Raw genomic sequence first — 10,152 nt, 5'->3', positions numbered from 1 at the left:
TAAAAAGTAGATAAAATAAACTAAAAGCCATAGAATCTCAGATATTTTATCATCCACAATAAGCTAACACTATGGTATCTAGTAGCCACAGGTGTTTTTTTTTTTTTTTTTTAATTATACTTTAAGTTTTAGGGTACATGTGCACAACGTGCAGGTTTGTTACATATGTATACATGTGCCATGTTGGTGTGCTGCACCCATTAACTGGTCATTTAACATCAGGTATATCTCCTAATGCTATCCCTCTCCCCTCCCCACACCCAACAACAGGCCCCGGAGTGTGATGTTCCCCTTCCTGTGTCCATGTGTTTTCATTGTTCAATTCCCACCTATGAGTGAGAACATGCGGTGTTTGGTTTTTTGTCCTTGCGATAGTTTGCTGAGAATGATGGTTTCCAGCTTCATCCATGTCCCTACAAAGGACATGAACTCATCATTTTTTATGGCTGCATAGTGTTCCATGGGGTATATGTGCCACATTTTCTTAATCCAGTCTATCATTGTTGGACATGTGGGTTGGTTCCAAGTCTTTGCTATTGTGAATAGTGCCACAATAAACATACATGTGCATGTGTCTTTATAGCAGCATGTTTTATATTCCTTTGGGTATATACCCAGTAATGGGATGGCTGGGTCAAATGGTATTTCTAGTTCTAGATCCCTGAGGAATCGCCACACTGACTTCCACAATGGTTGAACTCGTTTACAGTCCCACCAACAGTGTAAAAGTGTTCCTATTTCTCCACATCCTCTCCAGCACCCCACAGGTGTTTTTTGAGTATCAGAAATATGGCTAGTCTCAACTGAAAGCTATTACAATGGTAAAATACTGGATTTCAAAGAATAGGGTAAAGTAATCCTTTTAATAGACTTAGTATGGATTTTATGGTTAAATTATAATAAATTTACATATAGGATTAAATAAAATATATTATTAATATTGCTATCACATAATTCTTTTTACTTTTCAAATATGAACACTAGAAAATTTACATATATGGCTCACATATATTGGACATTGTGCCTAAAGTATCATCTTACTAGTCTTATTAATTTACATGGTTTTAGTCCTTCTAAAAAAATCTTAGAAACCCTAAAGCAATCTTATCATTTTAGTATTACTGAGAAAATTGGAAAATCATCTAATTAACTAGAAGAGCGTAACAAAAAAGGAATAATAACAGGGCTATTTTGAATACCACTGGTCATATTTCAGAAAGAATAATAAAGAACTAGACTAGATAGGGAATGAATTAGAACATTGGTAGCTGCCAGATGTAGCTAGTTATGATCCTAGAGCTTTAGAATCTATCCCTTGACTTAATCAAATAAGTGTTCTTATTGTATTTGTAACTATTTTTTAAAGCCTAAAATGGGAAGTAAAGTCTAATTTGAAGAGGTCAAGCCAGATGTTTTTGTTTCAAATAACTAAATGTATGTATGTATGCAGTTAAGAAACAGAGAATTCAGGCTCAGTCATCATTTATTATGACAGGTACCTCCATCATAAGACAGGTTGTCTCCATGTTTATTTCATTTAATTTTTAATTAAAGAAAACTTTTGATAATAAATGTTATTCTCCCAAATTATAGGTTGAGAAGTTGTGTCACATATTGTATGGAGCAAACAAGTTATGAAGTTCCTCTACTCGAACTCTCTGGCTCTTTCCATTCAGATATGCTGTCTTCTTCTTGGTGTCAAAATATTTTCAATATTTGGGAGAACAAAATTTCAATCTTCTATAACATGAATGTTCACTGGAGAGGAATCAAATTTAAATTCAGAAAACAAAAATGTTTATATCAAAGGTAGAGCTTACATATAATCAGGCTTTACTTGCCCAACACTGAACTCAGTAGAGTGCTACATTCAAACTTATTTTTTATCTCCCAAAATAAATAAGTGCATTATACTTAGCAAATTAAAAATTTTAAAGGTATTTAGCCATGGCTAATTGACTCTCATAAATAACCCTGGCAACAAACAGACTTAGATTTTAATTTTCTAGTTGAAGAAAGTGAGCATACATGACACATGACTCCTAAAAGACCAGAATTATTGTCTTATTTTCTTTCCCTAGGTTCAACTTGTGCTAATAGTTACAGATTCAAATTTAATTTTTAAAATATGTTCCTTTGTTAAGTAAATAATGTAACAACTTTACAAAAAAGAAACATTTTTGTATAAAAATGTTAGGATTAAAGATATGCAAATTTTTAAAACGTGCCTTTGTGAAATTTAGGTGCATAAATAAGTTTGATATTGAACATATGATAAACTTGAGGAATACATACGACTATATAATTATTCATCATTTGCAGAATAATATCACATAATTTTATTAAATTTGATGCACATAAATTACCCTTATCTATTATGCAAAGTTGCTTCTATAAATGCCAACATAGAACTATATAATGGGATTTGAGTTGTACTTGTTATTAATGAATGTTTAGCCTAAGTCTTAATTTACAACTCGTGACCTTTTTCCACAAAGAAATTTTTCTAGTGATGTGATATATGCATTCACTTTTGCATGTATTCACTCTAGAATCTTCAAGTTCATTTAAGTTGTCTAAGGCTATTTAAGGGAAAGTGAATACGGCTTGGGTTTCAGACTATGCTAGAGCTCCTGATACTCAGTCTCATCAAATTCACTGTGAAGAGTCCCATCAAATGCTTTGCAGGGTGCCACATAATTTCCAAGGTCATTCATGCTTATACAGGCAAGCTGCCTGATAGCAGACCGGTCAGATACGTGAGAGTAAAAACAAGGAAAGAGCTCTACGAAAGGTGCTTTAGAGGCAAGACATTGATCCCAAATGAAAAACATGTTCTATGTATAAATAGAAGCACATTGATTCAATGAATTATCTGGTGAGTACTAAAGTTGTTTAATCACGCTAATTAGGTGCCACTTGAAGACATTCATTTATTATCACCATCACACGCACTGTCATAAGCAAAATTTTCTACAGCTCATTAACGAGTATCTGTGTCATCACATCTTAGGAACTTTATTATTACCTTGTATTCTTTAGGTTTAATTATGCCTTGCTCCTACTGAAAAAAGATCATTCAAAAATACATACGCTGAAAGCTAAAATGTTTTTAATCAGTTATTAGCATCTCACAATTTATTTTTTCTGTTCCAAAAGAATATTTTTATTTACCAAGCAGTGACTTTAGAAAGTTTTTTTCTTTCTTGAGTGTTCCCCTTAGGCTTACTATTTAAGAATTCTATTACTGATGACTTCTTAATGACAATCATTTAATGTTTATATTATCTATTAGTGTTATAGACAGTCTAGGACATTTGTATTTCTTAAAAGCTCCAAATACGAGTAATCTTCCATGTAATATTTGACCTACCATCTTACCTGTCTTGGTTGCTGAATTTAGTGATTCTACAAGTACTCATTTCATGTTCTATGTTCTTAAGGTATTTCAAAGATCTTCCTTCAGGGAACATACATTCTCAGGATAGATAAAACATAAAACATAATAGGCTAATCACATAAAATATTTAAAAAATGAGATTAAGAAAATCTATAGCATTAAAAAAATTGAAATTTGCAAAACATTCACTGGCACAGCCACACATACATGTATGTATATATGAACTTGTCCACAAACATGTCCACATACACATTCATGTCCACGTAAACATCCATATTATTTCTACATCTATATCTTTATCTCTATCTGTATCTGTATTGTACCTATAACTACATATACCTGCCAAACCCCCATATTCACTTTCAAAATGCAATTAATTCCAAATTGTTAAGATTTTCTTGGCACCTATTTCTTTATTCTTAAATGATATATTTATAGTGCTCTTGATTTTTCAGTTTTAAACATCAATTACTTGCTTCCTGTAATGATAGTTGATGATTAAACTCATCTTAAGAATTTGTTATATTAGAAGTAAATTTGTGGTTTTATTCATGACCGAAAAAGAAACCGCTATTCTGCCTTCCCACTAGCTTTTTTGAGTTTTGTTGGAAATTAAATACTGGGTTAAAAATATTTTTAAGATATTGTATCCTAGCATTTTGGTATTCAGTACTGCTGATGAGAATAGTAGCATCCACCTGTTAGGGGAAGAGACATCCTTAAGCTGTCTCATATATGTATTGCAAATAGAGGCACTGACCACCCTGTTCCAAACTACATCTTCAAGGATATTTTTAGAGTAAACAGCTATGGAATATAGAGATAATGTCTCCATCTGGAGCAGTGGATATGCATATTTACTGCCCATTATAAAAATCCTTTTCCCAAAGTGGTCCACCGTGTGTGCAATTGTCCAGTGGTTCCCTTCCCTTTACTTTCTAAAAATTAAGGTTTGGTGAACTGTGCAACACAATGCTGTTACTATGGCTAATCCTATTGCTGTGAATATTAAAATCCTTTGTTTCTGACCAAGGAGTCTCATATCTTCTACCACCATTTGTAAATTTGTCACAGGTTTGCATGCTAGCTTGCAAAAAGAGTAGAATTTAAAGAGCCTTCAAGGTTCTCAACAATATCTTAGATAGCCCCCACTCCCTCCAGCACCAGAATTTGCCAACATCAGGCATAACTTTCCCAGGCCTGGTAGAGGAAAATGTATATTTTCCCAAGGCACAATCTCTCATTTCCTCGATAATTGTTCTGGAACATATACTTTTTGCAAATTACAGAACCTACCACTTCCCCTTCATCTCCAAGATAATTATAATATTTTTTACTCTTTAGAATTTTAACTTCTGAAACAGATATAATAAACATTTCTTAAATGCCCCTTTTTAATACTTTCTCTTGACCTATACAATTATCAGCAAACCAACAAGGCAGTTTATTGTTTTTCTGCCAATTATCCTTTATTACAAAAGTATTAAATTTTCAATTACAGTGTTTTCTAAGCCTGTCTTAACTACAGTTCATCAATGTTTCTGAAACCATCCTAGGCTACTGAAGTTCTACCTACTTTTGTTCCACTCCCACTCCATGGTATGTACAGTAGCCATTTCCTTTCTTTAAGAATTCTTTTTTTTTTGTTTTGTTTTGAGACAGAGTCTCGCTCTGTCACCCAGGCTGGAGTTCAGTGGCACAATCTTGGCTCAGTGCAACCTCTGCCTCCCAGGTTTAAGCGATTCTTGTTCCTCAGCCTCCTGAGTGGCTTGGTGTGCAAAACCACGCCCCAGCTAGTTTTTGTATTTTTAGTAGACATGTGGCTTCGCCATATTGGCCAGTATGGTTTCCTGACCTCAGGTGATCCGCCCACTTCGGCCTCCCAAAGTGCTGGGATTACAGGCGTGAGCCACCACACCCAGCCCTCTTTAAGGATTCTTAAACATTCCAGAGGAGTTCTGCACTGTGGATGGTACAAGTTTTATACCACCAAATTCAATGTGTAAAATATGTGATTCTTAAAATGTTTCCATGCCTCCACTTATTATCTATTTTAACTACTAATGTAGTTCATTTGTTTGAATTATACTCATAAAAATTAAAGTAAAATATAGTATGTTTATTATTTTTCAAGTAATTAAGAATCCTAAAATTATTCCAATATTTACTTTAATAATAGTGGCTAACATGTAATACTCAAGTTTGAGGCACTTTTCTGAGTGCTTTACATGTACATAGCTCCTTTAATTATTACAACAATTAGAAATTAATTTTTTTTTCCAAGGACAGTGGCTTATGGCTTATGCCTGTAATCTCAGCACTTCGGGAAGCAGAGACAGGAAGATAGCTTGAGCCCAGGAATTCGAGACAATCCTGGGCAACATGGCAAAACCCTGTCTTTACTAAAAATACAAAAATTAGCTGGGCATTGTGGCACGTGCCTGTAGTCCCAGCTACTTGGGAGGCTGAGGTAGGGGAATTACTTGAGACTAGGAGGTAGAGGCTGCAATGAGCTGTGATCGTGTCACTGCACTCCAGCCTGGATGACAGAGCAGAACCTTGTCTCAAAAAAATAAAATAAAATAAAATAAATGAATAAATAAATTTTGCCTTCTCATTGACATTTATTTTTAAGAAAAAACTTTCAAACAGGTATTTCCGTATTAGACATTTCATTATGTACATTTAAAGACTATGTCATATAATTTATTACAAAGCACTTGAGCTATATGAGACATAATGTAAATTTTTACAAATATAAGAAATTTTATATCACATATTCAATTTACAAACTCAGATTTTTGTGTGCAGACACAGACTCAAATAATCATAAACATTTCCATTAAAATTTAGTAATAAAAATATTATAGTTTTATGACACAAATCTAAAAATAGAATTGTTTCTCTTAATTTGAAATGTAAAAGAAACGATGCAGAATTGGATTTGTAAGTGAGGTCCTACAGTTACAATCCTGATCATCCAAATGGACATGCATATATTTCACATTTAATTAGTGATCCCGTTTACAAATTGAGTGGTCGTTTGCAGAGTTCTAGGGCAATCTTTCAAGACAAGTATCCTTTGAGTTTATTCCCCTGATGTTTTTTAAGTTTAATTGGGAGTTTGAATCCATGTTGAAAGTATCAAGGAACATATATAAATTGTAAGTAAACCTACCTCTTGGATACAAATAAAATACTATAAATTGAAAAGTTTTGTTTGAGTGAACTTTATGGTGAGAAATACTGAAATGAATTATAGGAGATGCCAGAGCATTGTTTTAAGTAAAGGTCTCTGAGCGCATTTTTCTGATCATCTTGTTTAGTATTGTTCAAACATAGAATGCAATGAAGAGATGAAAGAAGAGGCAAGACCCAAATTTAAAAAAAAATTATATAATATAAAGTGGGTTTGATCCATTATGTACAGAAATAGAAAGTAGTTAAATATGCTGAATAAGTCTATGGCTTTTAAATTTGAAGCCTATAAAGATTATCCCAGTGGCATTATAACAGTTAGAACTGCTAGAGTTGGCTACAGTAGAGTGAATTAGTTCCACCTTATCCACGGAAGTGGCTGTATGCTTGGAGGGGAGGGAAAGATTTCTTGTGTATTTCCCATATATGGTGACATGATGGGCTCGAGCAGGCTTTTTGAATGTGGGGTCTGCAGATACCTGGGCCTCTGCTAGACACTTTTAGGACTTCCATGAGGACAAAATTAATTTACAAAGCTGCTATCTTGTCCTTTTCACTGTCATATTATCAGTTAAGTTTTCCAAAGCTACATTACTTGTGTGACATTATTCTCACAGGTAGTGGAATATGTGATTAGGTACTTTTCTGTGTTTAATATTTTCTTGTTTAACATATTGCATCTATCTACCAATAGAGCATCAAAGTTGATCGTATTTTGTTCTCAGTACCCCTTTTTAAAACTCTTAAATTATTGATGACTCCAAAATGATTGACGGCAATTGGAAGAGAAGCCTAGGATTTGTAGACAGATAAATAGAGATAGATAGATAGATGAATAGAGAGCTAGATAGATTTTTTTTTTCTTCCCTACATGCTTAACCATCCCATCTCCTGGTAACAGAATCTCTTCTGTGTTTTAAAGAAGCTTACCTGATTCTCTCCTGACATAATGTGAAGCACAGGGTCTCATGAAGCAGATCAGAGAACAGCCATTTCCTGGCCATTGTGATGGTTTAGGTTAGAGACCCAACTCAATTCAAGGCCAACCAAAGCTCTTATTCAGCATTTTTCTAGACATTGGGGAGTTCTGTGTCTAGAATTTCTGAGAAACAAATAAGTCTGAACAAATGACCAACAAGTTTACTATTATATGGAGACATCTTTACTGAAAATAAAGCCAACAGATACAAAGACCCAAGTGAGGGATGAATAAAATAAAATCCTGCTGGCATGATTTGTACTCCTAAAATCCCGCCAGTCAAATCTCTGTATATTAATACTTATTGTATTGTTTGTTTTTTTGTTTAACTATTCTGAATTTGACTTAAATGATCTATGTATGAAAGAACTCTGACAAATATAACTTGATTATTTGGATATTTTAGGCGTTATGATATTTTATTTTTGAACACATATTATGCTGAGTGCGTTATATGCAGTAAGCACAATTAATCATCCAAACTACAATGTGAAATGAACATCCTCATTTTCAAAATAAGCAAACTGAGACACACAGTCATAGAGATCATTAGTTGTGCAGACAGATTAAAAATCTAGAATTTTCTGTCTCTAGAGAACTTGGCTTTATTTACCTACTACAATTTCTTTTATTTCAAATATTAAATTATAGAAAGTAAAATCCAATAAATGAAAAACTTTGGGAATACACCAACTCCCCACTGTTTATGCAATGCATCTCTTGTTACCACAGTCATGTAACAAATTCATTTTCCAAGTTCGGAGCATGTGAATCTGGTTGTTTTTAGTTAGAAAAATTGCAGGTAGTATCATGTAACTTCTGTTTTAGACTTAAAGGAGAATTATAAATTTCAGCTTGAAGTGCCCTTTTGAAAGAAAATTAAAGCAGCAATTTTCTAAGCCGGGAAGTTCAAATGATCCCTTAAGAAGTATTAAGGACTTGTTTTTATAAAGCTACAAACACCTTTTTTTTTTTAATCTGATCTAATTTTTTTTTCACAACAAGTGCAATCTCAGGGCAGTTCTGACAATATTTCTATCTCGTTGTATAAATGAAGAAAACAATGGCTTAATCTCTTTTTCTTCAGCCAAGGAAGGACGTGATAAAAGTCTTGAGTCTATCCTGTAAGGAGAAATAATTCAAATGAGTTCTGAAAGTTTCACAGAAATTGTTTTTCTAAGAGTCAAACAATTTAACTTCCACATTGGAAAAATGCCAATAATATGTTCTGTGTATATATTCTGCTCTACCTAAGACATTTGTGGAGGTTTTTAAAAAGTTACTTAAAAATTTCAGCAATTGATCTGCTGTAAATCCAGTTATATTTGTGTAGGTGGTTGGGGAAGGTCCTGGAAGGCAATTGGGTGTACCACTGTTTGAAACTCAAATTTCCTATATTCTTGTAAATATCCAGAGGGACAAAATGTGACAATACCATTCATATTATTCACTCCATTGATGTACCAAACATATATATTTACATTAATTTAAGATAATTTCTACATTTGAGAAATAATGTCAGACTAATAACTTCTTAATATATATGGTCATTTGATTATTTAGGAAAAGAAAAAACATTGAGGCCACGGTTAATATGAGGCAAGCCAATTCCTCTGGGGAATATTCATCTCCTCTAATAGAGTTAATCAGAAGGAATGAAAAGGGACTTCTAAGTCCAGAAACATTTTCTCTTTGACCTCAACTTTTAGGCTTTCAAACAGACTCCCAATTACATCCAACTGAGGTAGTGACATCTGTCCTCCAGAAACATACGAAATAATTAAATCTCTTTATCTGTGAATTACTCAATGCCTTTCAGGATGTAATGCTCAATAAGTAAAACTCTTTACCCTTCATCCAGTGACACAGGATTGTGTCCACATTTTAGAAACTAGTGAATAACTGTGTTACTCATTATTACTGATTGTGCTTCTGCTCTGATCCTCCATGAATCCTTTTATTCCAATATAAACTCCCTTTGAGTGTAGAGGTGGGAGTAGAGGAGGGAAGCATTGTATGATACAGATTTCATTTTGTGCTATAGTTTTATATAAGTGCATCTTGAATTCACTCAGTTCTTGAAGTCATTTATACTATGGTCAAGGTATGATTCCAGTCCCTATGGACAAAACTCTAAGCAAAAATATAAGATTTCCTCTGAGTTAACAAGGTACTTTTGGCCATACTTATTTTAGAGTCTGTGAGTTCTGTTGTACTTCAAGTATTCATAAATATAATAAGAATCAAAACATTTAGATATTCATCATGGATTTACCACTAAATATTTGTTTACATTATTTTCCCCAAATCTCTTAACCTTTCCATATCCAGATGTTCAGAATATACAAAAGATACTGTTGATATTGTTTGGCTCTATGTCCCCCCAAATAATCTCATCTTGTACCTCCCATAATTCCCATGCATTGTGGGAGGGACCCAGTGAGAGATTATTGAATCATGTTGCGGGTCTTTCCTGTGCTGTTCTTGTGATAGTGAATTGTCTCATGAGATCTGATGGTTTTAAAAATGGAAGTTTCTCTGCACAAGCTCTCTCTTTGCCTGCTGCCATCCATGT

The sequence above is a fragment of the Homo sapiens genome, chromosome 5 (assembly GCF_000001405.40).
Source record: "Homo sapiens chromosome 5, GRCh38.p14 Primary Assembly".
NCBI lineage: Eukaryota > Metazoa > Chordata > Mammalia > Primates > Hominidae > Homo > Homo sapiens.
The sequence above is the reverse complement of the archived record's forward strand: the minus strand, read 5'-3'. Positions refer to the sequence as shown.